Source organism: Homo sapiens, chromosome 12 (genome assembly GCF_000001405.40).
Source record: "Homo sapiens chromosome 12, GRCh38.p14 Primary Assembly".
NCBI classification, from domain to species: Eukaryota; Metazoa; Chordata; class Mammalia; order Primates; family Hominidae; genus Homo; species Homo sapiens.
Window position 1 is genome coordinate 97,184,469 of NC_000012.12, and position 17,692 is coordinate 97,202,160.

Below are 17,692 nucleotides of genomic sequence, written 5' to 3' on the forward strand. Positions count from 1 at the left end.
AAGCAACAAATAAAAATTACAAATGGCATTTTATGACAGCCTTCTCAGAAGTCAACATCTTCCTTTCCTTTGTTCATTTGTAAATTTCTTTCAGCTTTAGCCCAACAGAATCATAAATATGCAAAGAATAGTTAAAGTCCTGTGGGAAAGAATATGCTTGAATATGATAATGATCCTTTCATTAAAATGTAAGTCCTTATATTTTAGAAAAAAAATGGAGTGCAATTTAAAGGAATAACCCAAGTTGACTACCGATAGGCTAGAAAACTTGGGGCACCTAGGCAGAGGCCTCTGGAAGACAGGGATTTCTCCAAGCTTGGCTGAGTCTCTCTTTCCTACAGCTCACCCACTGTGTTCCTCAATGAATATTGCCTCAGTGTAGCAGGCTTCTTAGCATTCAATTGCTGCAGAATTTCCTTCTCATTATTCTAATATTCCTACCGCACATAAAAAACAAATCACCACTTACTGATTGAGAAATTTTCAGTCTCTCCTTTCTTTTCTCTCTGGTTGGATAGTTAAAAAGAATTTAAATTTAGTTTGACCTCAGAGAAATTGAGCGGGCTTGACGGGAGTCTTCTTAAGTTTTCAAATCCCTCTTTTGTAGTGTCTTTCAGATTTCCAAGTCTCTTCTGGTGTGCTGAGGTATATTTCAATGTCTTCTCTCCGCTGAGGATGACAGGGAGGACTCACGTAGCCACATTGGCAATGTTCTTTCAGAAGCACTATTTGGGAACCTTGGAGCCTCTGGAAGATGAACACCATACCATCCACAATGTCAGGATGAAAGTAGCTTCACTTCCCTGGGGTTCACGCCGTGGACAGTGCAACCTTCAGATGCAAGGCTGAGCATGATTCATTTAAATCCCACCTGGAACTATTCAAACAGGTGTGTGTCTATGCTGATTAGTTCTCATTTCCACACTTAGAGAGCCCTCTAGAATTGGAATGGGTATAATAGTGGTATTCAGCCCATTCAAATGTCGATTAATTAGCAAGTATTCTGTGCACTTATACTACTATATTCTCGTGTGTTAAGTAAGCTTGTATACACATAATAACCTCCAGCAAAATTGACCTGTGAAGGAGAGGTTGGTTAGAAACTGAATTCCACAGTAGCCACATGTGTCCAAAGTATCCCTTTTTCTGTAAAATCCCTCATTTGGGCACAGCATGAATATATACTTTTACTATTCAGCCAAAAGTGGGAGATTTGCTTGAAGCCTTTGATTAATGCAAATAATTGCTACACTAAAGCAGCTCTGATGCTTGGGAGGCCATTAGCGGTGCACAGCTGCCATCAACTAGGAACAACCTGCGCATACAAAGATGATTCATGGCCCAATTCGGTAGCTTGAGCATACTGAGTGTCCTAGAATTTAGTCCATATAACTCTTAGAGTTGAATAGTGTGTATGTGGGGGAAGGGGAATGCAGGCGTCTGGGAGAAAGTGCCAGCAGAGGTGGTAGAGCAGAATGGGTAAATAAAAGAAGATATCCTCTACAGGGTTGGAAAGGTGTGATACCTTTCTTCACCCACCATAAGGGTTACGACTGACACTCCTATAAAAAAAAAAACACAGGTAATAACAGAAAAGCATAACCACTTTATTTAAACACAGTTTTACATGACACAAAAGGCTTTAGAAATAAAGACCCAAATACCCAGGAAAACTGTCCATTTTTATGCTTAGTTTCAATGTGGAATGCAGCTATGTAGAAATGTGAATGAACAAAAAAAGTATCACCTAATGATAATACACTGGCCAGGACACCAAGCAAGTTCTGCCTGTTCAGATTCTTCTTGGTCTCTCTGTGGCATCCCTTCCTCCCATGCATAGGGCAGGGCCCCTTCTGAAATGAAGGTCATATGCCCTACTATCAGACAGTGTAGGTCACAGAATGTCTTTGTGGCCAGCTCCTACACAGAAAGGTAGGGGAATGTTAGAGTAATGTCTCTAGGGTTTATGTCTGGGTTTTGGAGAGAGGGGTTCTAGCTTCTATGGCTGACATTGGGGAAAAGGAACTCTAGTTTCTATGACCTGCCTTGGTGGAGAAAGGGGAGCAGGAGAAAGGAGGATAGGAGAAGGGCAGAAAGATACTTTCCTTCTGAGGCCTTTTAAATGTCCTTCGATTCAAAGTACTCAGCATGCCCAAACACCACACTTATGTATTGTTTTCTGAGCCCCAACACCTCAATAACAGTTTCTGCTATTTCTCTGGCACTGGGAATTCACTGGAATAGCAAAGGACAACCCAGACCCCTGAGAGGAGAAGGTGATCAAGCAGCACCGGTGACAGCATTCAGCTGATAAATGTGAGTAAAGCCCCAGTACATGGGAGAGGCAGTCTTCCTCTGGGACTCATCTTTTTACTAGGGATTTCTGTACCCCAGAACATGGGCAAGCACCCTGTTTCAAGCCCTACAGCTAACTTGGGAGAAACTGAAAGATGGAGAGAGGGAAAGACACTGGGAAAAGCTACAGGCACTTTTCCCAGCCCTGGCACTGAGAGGAGAACATCATTTTAAATCTGGGCTCATGCAAAGTCAGACAGTGCTTGGTGACCTGGCAGCCACTGCCACAGCAGGCATTTTAGTCTCAGGTCAGAATTTAAAGTGCTTGCTCTGGAATGGGGAAAGGGTTCCCACAGCCAGAATGAAGTATTGAGTGTGGAGAGTGCCCCAGCAGTTGGTGCTAGAATTAGGCTCTCTCCCATCACAGGGTTGGTATTCCTGAGAGAGGAGAAGAGAAAGTAAGCAAACTGGAAAACATATTTGAGGATATAATTTAGGAAAATTTCCTTCATCTTGCTGGAGAGGTCAACATACAGATAAAAAAAAAAATCCAGAGAACTTCTACAAGATGCTATACAAGATGACCATTCCCAACACAATAGTCATCAGACTATCCAAGGTCGACTTGAATGAAAAAATCCTAAAGGTAGCTAGGAATACATCTAACCAGTGAAGTGAAAGGGCTCTGTAAGGAGAAGTACAAAACACTGCTGAAAGAAATCATAGACAATGCAAACAAATGGAAAAGCATTCCATGCTCATGGATTGGAAGAATCAATATCATTAAAATGTCCATACTGCCTACAGAAATCTACAGATTCAATGCTATTCTTATTAAATTATCAACATCATTTTCCACGGAATTAGAAAAAACTATTTTAACATTCATATGGAACTGAAAAAAGAGCCTGAATAGCCAAAGCAATCTTAAGCAAAAAGAACAAAGCCAGAGGCATCACATTACCTGACTTCCAACTACACTACAAGCCTACAGTAACCAAAACAGCATGGTACCATTTCAAAAATAGATACATAGACCAATGGAACAGAATAGCGACTACTGAAATAAAGCCACACACCTGCAATCAACTGATCTTCAATAAAGTCAACAAAAATAAACAATAGGGGAAAGACTCTATTCAATAAATGGTGCTGGGAAAACTGGCTAGCCATATGCAGAAGAATGAAGATGGACTCCTATCTCTGACGATATACAAAAATTAACTCAAGATGGATTAAAGACTTAAATGTAAGACCTCAAACTATAAAAATCCTGGAACAAAACTTGGGAAATACTCTTCTAGACATTGGCCTAGGCAAAAAATTTATGACCAAGTCCTCAAAAGCAGATGTAACCAAAACAAAAATTGACAATTGGGACCTGATTAGACTAGAGAGCTTCTATGCAGCAAAAGAAATGATCAACAGAGTAAACAGACAACCTACAGAATGGGAGAAAATATTTGCAAACTCTGCATCTGACAAAAGACTCATATCCAAAAGCTGTAAGGAACTTAAATAAATAAACTAGAATAAAACAAATAACCCCATTAAAAAGTGGGCAAGGATATGAACAGACATATCTCAAAAGAAGACATACAAGTAGCCAACACACACATGTGAAAAAATGCTCAACATTCTAATCACTAGAGAGATGCATATTGAGACCACCATGAGATACCATCTCACACCACTCAGAATGGCTATTATTAAAAAGTCAAAAAATAATAGTTGTTGGTGAGGTTGCAGAGAAAAGGGAATGCCTATACACTGTTGGTGGGAATGCAAATTAGTTCAGCACCTATGAAAAGCAGATTGGAGACTTCTCAAAGAACTAAAAATAGAATTACCATTGGACCCAGCAATCCTATTACTTGGTAAATACCCAAAGGAAAATAAATCATTCTACCAAAAAGACACCTGTACTTTTATGTTTATCACAGCACTATTCACAATAGTAAAGACACAGAATCAACCCAGGCACCCATCAATGGTAGATTCAATAAATAAAATGTACATGTAATCGTGGAATACTACACAGCTCTAAAATAGAATGAAATATATCCTTTGCAACAACATGATGCAGCTGGAGGCCTTTATCCTATGTGAATTAATGCAGAAATAGTAAACCAAGCACTGCATGTTCTCACTTATAAGTGTGAGCTAAACATTGGGTATACACGGACACAAAGATAGAAACAATAGACACTGGGGATTTCAAAAGTCGGGAGGTAGGGGGCCAGAGGTTGAAAAACTGCCCACTGGGAACTATGTTGACTATTTGGGCAATGGGATCATTAAAAGTCCAAACCTCAGCATCATGCAATATGCCTTTGTAACAAACCTGTATGTATACCTCCTGCATCTAAAATAGGTAAATAAAAATAAATAAAAATTTAAAAATAAAATGTGATGACTAAAAATAAAATAAAGGATTTACTCTGTTTTTAGAACTATAGTTCATCCCTTACTGTTGAGAAAAACCTCTTTTTTACCAAAACATCAGCAACAACCAAAGCAAACACTGTCGCTATACCACACACAGACAGACAAATGTAGAAAAATGATGGCATTAGAAAATCATCATTCTGCAGCCTCCAGTGAAATCCTTGATTTAAACAAGGATCATAAATGGATATGAAAACCATTGAGTGAAAAGTTGTTGGTGTATGGGATATTCAAGTGTTGCCAAAGGATCAAGCCACAGGTTAATTGCTTATTGCAAAGGGAGGACATACTTTTATAATCAGGAGCTGTGGCAAGGGTAATAAACACATATCCTGACTATTGGAACAACCTAACCTTATGTGTCTTCATGGTGATGCAATATGAAGATCCAACATACCCTATAAGTATTCTTGACCCAAATATTTAACCTTAACCTAATCAAGCATTTAGAACTAACTTCCAGTTTACAAGCTCTTCTGTTAGATTTTATTTAGTTAGGTATAAATAGCATTAATGACACCAATGATAGTGCAGATTTCTGGATTTTTATGTCTCTATTACAAGATTTGTTTCTATGCCTTTAGTTTCTGGGTAGGATGAGCTGTGGGGGAATATGTTCTTTAGTAACACTGGTCTGTGTTTTGTTATTCTGTTCGACTGTCATCTTTGAATCCTAAAGAAAGCCTGTTTAGCCTTCACTTTACACTGATCAAGTTTGAAAGAATGTCATAGCTCTTCTCTGAGACCTATTTGAATAAGTATATTTCATATGAAAGAAAGCTTGTTTGTAAAACTAATGCTACATTTGAGCTATTATGCTCCATTTTGAGGTTTGAGTAAGTGCACCGCCTCCTTTTTTTAGTGGGTTTATTACTAAAGTGATTTGGTTTAGGGATCCAATGAGAGGGAAAATATCTTTGACAATATATCCCAGAAAGAAGGCAGACTAGGATTTAGTTTCATATTGTCTCATGGGCCTTGGTGCAAATCTGACACTAAGTTTCTGCCCTAGCAAATATTTGTGAGCACCATGCATTAATTAATTTCTTGCATGTGATCTGTGTGTGTGTGTACTTGTGTGTGTATCCATATGTATCCTCTTCCAAATGCTTCTCCTTACCACTCTCCCACCCCATTTCAGAACTTTCTCCCTCTGTCTCCACAACCCCCCTTCCTCTCTGTGCAGCTTCCCTTCACACAGCTGGACTCCCACTGTCAGTCATTAAATGCTCAAGCATTTGAGAATCTGAGCTCCTGTCTTGGCATGGCTTTTCTGTCACTCAGCTTAGCTAGGGGCTGGACTTCTTGGAGAAAATTGAATCTACTGACAATCCAGAGGAGCATGTTTAGCCCTGTTATAGCTGCCCCGCTGCTTTGATCCCCCCAGCAAAGGAAAAACGATTTAGAGAGGTAGAACCTCTGGGGCAGATGCGCAGAAGTTTTCAAGTGAAACCTAACAGTACCTACAAAAGGAGCACTATGAGGAGGAATCAAGAGGTAATTTTCACTTTAAGAAAACCCCAAACCAAAAAATAAAGACCAGGTTGTTGATATAATTTTATTTAATTACAAGTAGTTATTTGCTTATATTTGCAAAAAAGAAACACTAAAAGATAAACCAAAAACCCCCATCTCTCATTTAACAATTTTGTTTCTGAAAACTCTGTTGCTAAATGAACAGTTATTAAATAAAACATATTTTCCTATTAATATTATCTGGAAAAAAAATTGTGATGCATTCCACCTAACCCAAAATGTCCAAACAATATTTACAGGTAAAAAAAATTATCAATTGAGCAATATATATAGACAAGTTCCTGTAATTAAAAAACAAGTTGAAATAAATACCATTTATATATAAAATATGTAATGTAATGAAGCAAGAGAAGAAAGGTGGATGGGGAGAGGGAGAGGGTCTTTTGAAGGTGGTAGAGAGTCAGGTGGTCAGTTTCTAGGCAAACAACCTTCTGCGACTGCAGTGTATCTTGCTTTCAAGCTGCATGTACAAATGAAGTAAAGGCACATAAAAACCTTTAGGGCAAAATCAAGCCTGAACATGAAAGAGTTTAACACATAGAGATCATACACAACATAATGGAAAGTCATAGAAGATGGAGTCTCTTCACAACTTTGTATGAATGCAAAGAAAAGTGTTTGGGGTTTATTCAAATGAAATGGGCCCAATAGTCCCATAGACAGTTGTGTTTTGGATAAACATAGAAATTGACCCTTCTGGTCTTAAAAAGCTTGAAACCTGTATTTGTTTTATCTGACTTCCTTCCTCAGGAAATGACCTTTAGGCCTCTCACATAAAGTATCAGAGACCTAAAACCAGATTGTGGCACCAAATGCCAGACCCCTCATTCACCATGATTGCTTCCTTGCCCCTCCCAAGTTCCTGCTTTCTTACACATTGTTACATTTCCTGCCTGTTATATAAATCTCTGGTTTTAGTCAGCCAGGGAGATGGATTTGAGACTGAGCTCCCATCTCCTTGGCTGCAGCACCCAATTAAAGCCTTCTTCTTTGGCAATACTTGTTGTCTCAGTGATTGGCTTTCTGTGCAGTGAGCAGAAGGACCTAGACCAAACCCCTGGTGTTTTGGTAACACAAACATTGCACGTAATATAAATTCACTCTACTTAATATACTTTGATTAGAAAGTACTATATTGTGTAAATTAGTGGCTGTGTCTTTGCCTGGAACCATAGTGTCAAGATAGCCTTGAGTTGTTCAAAGGTGGTATAGTATTTCATGATCCTTCATAAAGAAACTCCTTAACTCAATGGCTAGAATGTAGATGTATTCTCACATAACACATAATGACATTTTGATTAAAGACTGGATATAGAATGGTGGTTCCATAAGATGATAATGGAGCTGAAAAATTCTATTGTCTAATGACACCTAGATAATCCTGACCTTGTGTAGACCTAGGCTAATGTGTTTGTGTGTCTTAGTTTTTATCAAAAAAGTTGAAAAGTTAAAAAATTTAAAAACAGAAAAAAGCTTATAGAATAAGGATATAAAGAAAGAAAATAATTTTGAACAGCTATACGGTGTGTTTGTATTTTAAGGTGTCAAAAAGTCAAAAAGTTAATAAAATTGAAACATTTATAAAGTTAAAAAGTTACAATAAGCTAAGGTTAATTTATTATTGAAGAAAGAAAATATTTTAAATAAATATTTTAAATAAATATAGTGTAGCCTAAGTGTACAATGTTTATAGTCTGTAGCAGCATACAGTAATGTTCTAGGCCTTTATGTCCACTCAACACTCACTCACTGACTCACCCAGAACAACTTCCAATCCTGCAAGCTTCATTCATGGAAAGTGCCCTGTACAGGTATACCATTTTTTTTTATCTTTTATACCTTGTTGTGTTTTTACTCTACCTTTTCTATGTTTGGATACACAAATACTTAACATTGTGTTATGATTGCCTATTCAGTGCAGTAACATGTAATACAGGTCTGTAGCCTAGGAGCAATAGGTTATACCATATAGCCTAGGTATGTAGTAAGTAGGCTATAAAATTTAGGTTTGTGTAAGTACATTCTGATGTTCACACAATGACAACATCACCTAATGATGCATTTCTCAGAACATATCCCTGTCGTTAATTGACATGTGACTGTGTGTGTGTGTGTGTCACTCCTGGTAAGAGTATGTTTCTTAGAGTTTGTTCAACCCAAAATTTTTTTTTTTTTTTTTTTTTTTTTTTTTTGAGATGGAGTCTCGCTCTGTCACCCAGGCTGGAGTGCAGTGGTGCGATCTTGGCTCACTGCAAGCTCCGCCTCCCAGGTTCATGCCATTCTCCTGCCTCAGCCTCCCGAGTAGCTGAGACTACAGGCGCCCGCCACCATGCCCGGCTAATTTTTTTGTATTTTCAGTAGAGACAGGGTTTCACTGTGTTAGCCAGGATGGTCTCGATCTCCTGACCTCGTGATCTGCCCGCCTCAGCCTTCCAAAGTGCTGGGATTACAGGCGTGAGCCACCGCGCCCGGCCTGTTCAACCCACTTTTTAATTAACTCTGTAACAGAGAGGAAAAATAATTTTCTCTCTGCCCTCCTAAATTCTTAGTTGAGGCTCTCTGATACAAAAGGCAGATTAACAAGAGGAAAATAAAGGGAAGTTTAATAACATGTATACCCTATATACATGGGAGATACATAGGAAAATCTCAAAGAATAAATTCTCCAAGAGTAACTATAAAGAGTAGATCTCGAAGAGTTGTATTACTTTTCAGGCTTAAATATGATCATCCCTTGAAACAAAGTAAGAAGAGTTTGGGGGAAAGTCCCAGTTATAGGTAGGTGGCCAGGAAAAAACACTGTAAACAAGAGTAAGATTTGTTATGGAGATTTAAACTGATGCTTTTTCCATTGATGGGTTTTTCTAGTGATTTAGTCATCCTTCTCTTCCTGATGGAGAGAGGGAAACACCCTTATAAATGGAGATTTCCTTTATAGTTGTAAATTTCTCTTACAATAGGGTAACTTCTACTCTTCATTTCAGAGTTTTTTTGTGTGTGTCTGCAGTTTCTCTAAATAACCAGCTCAAAATAGTCCTCATTCCAAAGAGGCATATTTTGAGTAGTATAACAGTAAAAGGTTTGTTGCTTGATGCACGTGGCAAGTCAATATGCTGAGATACCAGGCTGCGGCAGAGAAACAGGTTTAATTGCAGAGCCATTGAATGAGGAGATGGGAGGAAACCTCAAATCTGTCTCCCTGGGGAGTTTGGGCTTAGAATTTTTAAGGGTTTTGGAGAGGGCCAAAGTGGGGAGATGGTTATTGGTCAGAGAGAACAAGGTGAAATCATGGGGTAGGGAGATGAAGAAACTGAATTCTCATGCAGTTTGGTTCTTCTTTTGGGGGTCTTCAAACTGGTTGTCATCAGCTGAAACTTAGAATTTGAAAAATATGTTAAGGAATTTTTAAACAAAAGCATATCAGAAATCCTGTCTACAGAAACAATGGGGATGCAAGTGGTCAGCATCTAGTGCTCCATGACTTTTGGTTACAAGGAAGCAGGCCAAAGTGCAGCCTGATAAATGCTTAATTATAACCATATTTCTGTCCAGAATCCTTGTTAACCCTGTGAGGACAGCTTTAGTAGCATATTCTGGTCTCCTAGTCATGTTTTAAAATGGCATTTCTCAACCTTATGCATTCAGAGGATGATCATTTATCATTTCTCTTCATAAGATTAAAATTATATATTCAGAAATATCTCTATCCAGAAATTTATCTCAACCAGAAGGCCCAAGTTTCCTTTACGTTGGTGCACATCAACATGAAGGAAACCAAGAGAGTCCCGTGACCAGACTGTTAAGTTCCCAGGGCAGAGAGTGGATATCAATCATCTGGGCTTCTTCACTGGTTACCTGTGTGCCAAAGATACAGCAGCACTTCCTCCTCCTCTCAGCTTCGTGAATGAATGAATGGGGATAGGCCACGGCTCTTGCACATACTTACACATACTCACATGCCTGGTCTTCTCAGCTTCTTTCATTGCCCTTCACCACCTGGGCCTCCTGTCTGGTGGTGACATAATAAGAAATATATGTTTAGTCTCCCGTTGGAATTTCCTGAGTGATGGGGTGAGAGGAGCATTCTTAGTTATTCATAATAAGTGCTTTCCAACCACACGTGAGTTGATGTTAACACTTGGAGGATGGGAACCAGGTGTCAGAGGAACCAACTGTGTGATTAGGGGTTGAAACTTTCAGCCCCATTTTCCAACCTCCAGGGAGGGGGAAAAAACCTGAAGATTGAGGTCAATAATTTAATCAACTACGTAAAGGACCCTCCATAAAAACCCTAAGCAGTGGGGCTTGGACAGCTTCCAGGTCAGTGAACACAGTGAGGTGCTGGGAGAGTGGCATGCCTAGAGAAGGTGTGGAAACTCTGCACCCCTCCCCCATATGTTGCCTTGTGTATTCTTTCCACTTAGCTGTTCACCTGTATCCTTTGCAATATCCTTTATGTTGTTAAAGTAAGTTTAGCCTAAAGCTGCCTCACATATTTTAAGTTCAGCCTAAAGCTTTCTCTGTACATAGTAAACTGTAACCTAACTGGATGTGTAAACTAACTGTACCACACTCTTGTGCCAATCACTGAGTTTTGGCAAATCAGAGGTGGCCAACTGTTCAAACCAGGTTCAAATAATGCAAACACTGAGCTCTAGCCCATCTGGCTGTTTCTGTAACTCACTTCTATTTTCTATATGTCACTTTCCTTTTTCTGTCTATAAATCTGCTCCATTACATGATGCTGCTAGAGCCTCTCTGAACCTTTTCTGGTTTGGGGGCTGCCCAATTCATGAATAGTTCTTTGCTCAATTAAACTGTGTTAAATTTAATTTGTCTAAGGTTTTTATTTTAACAATAATATATCAGTAAACGTAAGTAAATATTTCCCTGATGCTTGTGAGCAGTTATAGCAAGGTATTGAACATGAGGAAGGGTTATAGGAATCCCTGATTTATAGCCAGTTGGTCAGAAGTACAGGTGACAACCTGGGACTTGTAATTGATTTCTCAAGTGGGGGACAGTCTTTTGGGACTGAGCCTTTAATCTGTGAAGTCTGTACCAACCACAGGTAATTAGTGTCAGAATTGAGTTAAATTGTAGGGCACTTAGTTGGTGTCATTAGAAAATTGGAGAATTGCTTGGTGTGGAAAGCCCACACATTTGGGGTCTGAAGTGTTGTGAGTATAGAAAAACAGTTTTTCCTTTACTGGTGCTATGAGTGGCTTTGCTACTTTCTGCAACTCAGAGCTGGCTGCAGGGAGCAAGAGTAGCTTTGTTTGGAGTTTCTGCTGCATAGAGAAGATTCTGGAAAAAGAAACAAAAATCAGCACTTCCCATTGTCTTTCTAAAACATGAATATCCAACAGACAACTTTTAGATCCAGCCAAATTTCCATCAGACATTTCCAACTCAGCATATCAAAATCTGAATCCATCATCTTCTCCCTTTCTTTCCTATTCTACCATGTTCCCTATCTGGGCAAATGTCATTATCACGTACCTGGCTGCCTTAGCCAGAAACCTGGGAATCATTCTTCCCGAATACTTCCTATCTTCTTAATCTCACTATAATTCAATTTCTGTTGATTCTACATCCTAAGTATCTCTGGTACCCATTTCCAATTTTCTTCCTCCATGTCTATTGTCCTTGTTTAAGGCTACCTCAGAATTACAATAGCCTCTTAAAAGGTCTCCCTGCAGCCTCCTTTATTCTATCTTTCCTTAGTTCATCCATTTACTCATTTATTCAAAAATATTTATCGAGGATCTACTATGTGTAGAAATTATTCCAGCCATGGGGCTTGTAGAATTGAACAAAGACAAAAATTCTTGTCCTCATGGATCTTATTTTCTAGTAGGAGGAGATGATAAAATACATAAATAAGTAATATAGTATATTAGAAAGTGAGGCTGGGCATGGTGGCTCATGCCTAAAATCCCAGCACTTTGGGAGGCTGAAGCAGGAGGATCCATTGAGCCCAAGAGGTCAAGACCAGATTGAGCAACATAGGGAGACCCTGTCTCTATAAAAAAAAAAAGAAAAAAAAAGAAAATGATACATATTCATAAAATAGACAAAACAAGGGAGGAAATACGAGTGCTGGGGGAGGGAGATGAAGTTTTAGATAGGGTGGTTTCACTGCAAATGTGGCATTTTGGCAGGGTGTTGATGAAACCACCTTTGCAAAGATTATGACAGCAAGAGGAGTGTAGCATACCTGACTTCATCTTGCTTCTAGCCTCACAGTCTGGCTGTCTTTGTTCGTTCCTCATTGTAGGCCAAGCTAACCATGGAAGGAATTTAGGTTATACTTTAAAGCAAGAATGATAGTAGTCCCCCCATAAAACTGATCCCTCCTTGTTTGGCAACTGAAACTACCTTTGTAAGGCTGATAAAAGACCACAAGATTAGAGTTAAGGGAGTGGCCTGAACTTGCAAAGATATAGATGTAGCTAAATGATAACCAGCCATTGTCCCCTATTTTGTTTTTCTATAATCCCTTACTGCTCAGGAGTCATATGGCCAGAGATCCTAAGATTTGTGACTTTCCCAATTGCTCATATAGATAACATCACCATTACATTAGGTTGGTGCACAAGTAATTGCAGTTTTTGTCATTAGAAGTAATGGCATCTACCTAATAGAACCTAAGATTGGTCTTTGGAGATGCTTTTCAGACTTTTGCATTCTAACAACTGACTGACTCCACCTGGACCCATTACTGTGGCCCCACTCAAAGGCAGGTCAGCACAAGAGGACTGTTTTCCACACCCCTGTGATTTCATCCCCAACCAATCAACAGCACCCATTCCCTAGACCCATGCCCACCAAATTATTCATAAAAACCTTAGCCTCTGAATTTATTAGGGAGGCTGATTTGAGTAATACCAAACTCCTGTCCTTTTGCTTGGCTGGTCTTGTGTTTACTCTGTTTCTTCACTGCAATACTGCCATGAATTGGCCCTATCTGTGCAGTAGGCAAGATGAACTCACTGGGTGATAACATTTAGAGGACTAAGTAGTGAAACATGCGGGATCTGAGTGACAGGTGTTACAAGAAGGAAGAGCAGGCACAAAGTTCTGGAGGTGGAACTGTGCCTTGCATTTTCTGGTGGTTGGAGAGAAGTGGAACAGGCAAAAGGGGGACAGCAGAACCAGAAGAGGTAAGGGCGTGACTGGGAACCAGATCATGGAGAACTTTGCAATCATAGCAAGTACCTAGGCCTCTGTTTCTCTGATATGTGAAGCCTTTAGAGGTTTTGAGCAGATGTCATTATCTAGGTTACATTTTAACAAGATAAGTCTGGCTGCTATGCTGAGACCGGACTGTAGGAGGATAAAGTCAGAAGAAACAAATGGTTAGGAGGCTGTTACCATAATGTCATCCTCCGACGCAAAATTCTCCAATGATTTCCCAACACAGATAGAATAAAATGAAAACCCTTTTGAATAGCTTTTAAGGTTAGTCATGATTTGGTGCCTTCTGCCATTTTGGCCTCATTTCTTGCTCCTACTGCCACTCGCCTCCCCATCATTCTCTTGTCTGATTGATAGCCTGGGGAATGCTTATTGAGTTTTCAAGTCATGGTTCAATTGCTTCCTCCTCCATGAAGATGTCCCTGTTTTCTCCTATGCTCCCATCTCATATGGAGATGTGAACACTTGTTTCTTTCAATGTTATGTTTTTGGCTCTCTCCCCACTAGAACATGCACTTCCTAAGGTTAAGGACTCTGCTTTGCATCCTGCTACATAGAAATGACAAAAAGAAAAAAGGTTAAATTGATTACTTTACCATGGAATATGTGTTGGCTTTTTTTTTCTGTGCAGTACTGGTTTGGGGGGCAGTGATGGAGGGGAACTATTCAACTTTGACACCATGTGAATTCTTAGAGTCTTTTCCACCTTCCTCTGAAAAAAAATCTAGAAGTCACTGAAGTTCTTTTTTTGGGATGGCAGGGGAAAGAAGGCAAGGTGCAAGGCTTTATTAATGCTGCCTGTATCTGCTAATGTCATCTCCTTTAGTAAACAAAACCAAGAACCAGTTAAACCTGCTGGGTACAGTGGCTCATGCCTGTAATCTCAGCACTTTGGAAGACTGAGGCAGGAAAATCTCTTGAGGCCAGGAGTTCTAGACCAGCCTGGAAACATAGCATGAACTTGCCTCTAAGAAAAATTTTTTTTTTTAAATTAGCCGGACATGGTGGTGAACCTGTAGACCCAGCTACTCAGGAGGCTGAGGTGGAAGGATCACTTGAGCTTGGGAGTTTGAGGTTACAGTGAGCTATGATCACACCACTGCACTCCAGCCTGGGTGACAGAGTTAGACCCTGTTTCTAAAATAAAATTAATTAGTTAACTAAATCCCTTTCTATTGTTCTTTGTAGCAATCCTATACCAGAGTTCTGCCACAAACATGCCAAAAGAAAGAGCAAAAGTGGTTGGGCGTGGTGGCTCACACCTGTAATCCCAGCACTTTTGGAGGCTGAAGCAGGTGGATCATGAGGTCAGGAGTTCAAGACCAGCCTGGCCAAGATGGTGAAACCCTGTCTCTACTAAAAATACAAAAAAATTAGCCAGGCTTGGTGGTGGGTGCCTGTAATCCCAGCTACTTGGGAGGCTGAGGCAGAGAATTGCTTGAACCTGGGAGGTGGAGGTTGCAGTGAGCTGAAATCATGCCACTGTACTCCAGCCTAGGCAACAGAGCAAGACTCCATCAAAAAAAAAAAAAAAGAGCAAAAGTGGAAAAGGTAAAAAGTGACTTTTATCTAGTTGCTACTCTATAATGCCCTGTGGTTATTTACTTATATATTTGCTTTGTTGGGGGAAGGAATTGCCCTGGGCATATAGGTTAGGCATAACCTTAATTTCATGGTTGCCATAAATGTTTATTTTATTCAAATCTCCAAGAATGCTATTTTATAAGGCTTAAGAAATGCATTTCCTCAAAATCTTGCAAAGCATTTTCCCCCAAATATCAGTGCCTAAGCTGTTTCTTCCCAGTTGTTTCTGCATATTTATTTTCTCACTGCAAACCTCTCGGTTGAGACTGGAGTTCGCAGCATCTCTCCACAGTTTCTTCAATAACATTCATTAAGATACTCTTTTGTCTCATAGTGTAGATCATTACTGAAGCTGTTAACTAACACTAGAGTTTCATTGATTCCTGGGGCAGGGCTATGAGACACCTCTGTAATGTGATACATCGCATCTATCCTTTGTTTCGATGTCACCAGCCCTCAGCTTTCAGCCTGTACAGAATGCTAGAGTCCAAATCTAATTCAATTTGAATTCATTTTGCAAGTAAGACTTTATTAGATACTGTATTAAGTGCTTTACCAAAATTGGGTTATGTTACATCTTCGTTTTCTCTCTCTCCTTTATTAACATGCAATTCTCACTCCCTTTTTAAAAAGAAAAAAAAAAAGGCAATTAGGTTTTCCCAGCTTGGTTCAATCTCAAAATCCAGGCTGCTTATTGCCCCTGGTTCCATTATAATCTAAATGCTTACAGATGCTGTCAGCCTCCCTGTCTCGCTTCTCTATGAAATCAGTGCCACATCAGTTTCTATCAAAACTTTACACCTCCTTAGTCCTCAGTTATTTTAGGCTGAAAGTTCCAACTGATTAATGATGCTTGGAGCCGGAAGTTTCCCCAGAGGCGCTGAATAATGTGATTTTCAAAGTGCTTTTCATGAAGTCCTATTTTCCCCAAAGATGCCTTAGGGACCACAAGGGAATGATAAGGTGGACGTCCAAAGAACAAGGTTCCTCATCCCTGTTTTAACAGAGCAATAAATATCGTTTTCATCTGATTTATGTATTAGAGCTCCATGAGGGGCCACTGCTAGTCCACATGGAGCCCTTTGTGCAAGCCAGAAAAAGTCACTCTTCCTCAGGGCAGACAGTCCTTCAACAGGGTTGCTATCGTTTTATGTAACATTTGATTTTGAGAAAGGGACTCTGATAATAAAAATTAAGTTGGAGAACCTCTATCCAAGGCCGGCCTCTTATGTTACCCAAGAAAAAAAGCCAAAATCAGTTAAGATTGACTTTTCACCATTCTACAGTTGAATATTCATATTCAACGTCTTCCACTTGGGTATGTAAATGTTTTTGTTATTTTTAGTGGACAGACACTCCTGACTTGACCATGCATTCATGCTCAAAGATAAATGAGTTCATTCAAAATATTTATTAAGTACTCACAAGTCCACACTCTCATGGAGCCTATATTCTCGAGGAAGAAGATAAGTGATAAAAAGATAACACTGCACATAAATGAAATGCCAGATAGTGGAAAATGCTACAAAGGAAAACAAAGCAGGAAGAGAGCACAAAGAATAAAGGAAGAAGAATTCTATTTTAGATATTCCACACAATAGCAATCTCTGAGAGCGTTAGTCTTCTTGTTGTGATGTTTTCTGTTACAAAGTAAACAAACCAACCAACAAACATAGACCCTCTCCACGTTTAGTATTTACAATACACTTAATAAGTCAATAAATAAATCAAACATACAACAATGTTTTATTCATTTAATAAATTTTACTGAATAGACACTAAGAGGAATACATGTAAACAAATAAAATATGTAATAAAACATATTTCCTGCCTTCAAGGGACTTGAAGTCTAGTGAGAGAATAGGATATACATTAATCTCATGATAATATATTTCATAAATAATTATTCACAGGTCTTTCAGAGCATAATGGCGATAAGAGGCTGGTGGGAAGGGGCAGATAACATTCAACAAACAGTTGTGTGTTTGTATTTGATGAGTGAAGGTGGGTCAGAGATGAGAAGGATTTCAGGAGGAGGCCAGGGAGAGATGGAACAAGCAGAGACATGAAAGCTGGTCTGAAACACAGAGTAGCCTGATGAGACAGAAATGTGGCAGTGTGTGGAAGATAAGACCTTGAATTTCATGCTAAGGAGTTTTGGATTTATTCCATAGGTGATAGGGAAAAGTGGAAGAATGCGATGAGAAAAGTGCGTGGCGATAAAGATTTGCATTGGTTTTGTAGCATATTAGGATTCTCCAGAGAAACAGAATCAATAGGAGATTAGATAGAGACAGAGAGATGGATAGATGATAGATAGATATAGATAGGCAGATATAAATATGTGATATTATATATGAGAGAGAGACAGAGACAGGGAGAGATTTATTTTAAGGCATCGTCTCACACATTGTGGAGGCTGGCAAGTCCAACATATGCAGGGTAGGGCAGAAGGCTGGAGACGCAGGGAAGTGTCCATGTTGCAGCTCGACTCCACAGGCTGTCTGCTGGCACAATTTCCTCTTCCTCAGGAGAGGTCAGTCGTTATTCTCTTAATATACTTCAGTGGATGGAATAAGACCCACCCACATCATGGAAGGAAGATAATCTCCTTTACTCAAAATCTACT

At 39.4% G+C, this 17,692-nt stretch overlaps 2 long non-coding RNA genes across 2 annotated transcripts in view; one reads left to right on the forward strand and one right to left on the reverse strand.

The window, feature by feature from the left end:
- The first annotated feature begins 611 nt into the window (after window positions 1–611).
- LOC105369928 (uncharacterized) overlaps window positions 612–17,692 on the forward strand; it is a 33,018-nt gene continuing 15,937 nt past the window's right edge. The window contains exons 1-2 of the long non-coding RNA XR_945250.4: window positions 612–889; window positions 2,245–2,316. This is a non-coding gene — a long non-coding RNA (uncharacterized LOC105369928). The remainder of the gene's footprint in view (window positions 890–2,244; window positions 2,317–17,692) is intronic.
- The window catches only part of LOC105369927 (uncharacterized), a 35,878-nt gene continuing 27,750 nt past the window's right edge, over window positions 9,565–17,692 (reverse strand). The window contains exons 2-3 of the long non-coding RNA XR_945249.3: window positions 10,226–10,288; window positions 9,565–9,653 (exon numbers count right to left, since the gene is read on the reverse strand). This is a non-coding gene — a long non-coding RNA (uncharacterized LOC105369927). The remainder of the gene's footprint in view (window positions 9,654–10,225; window positions 10,289–17,692) is intronic.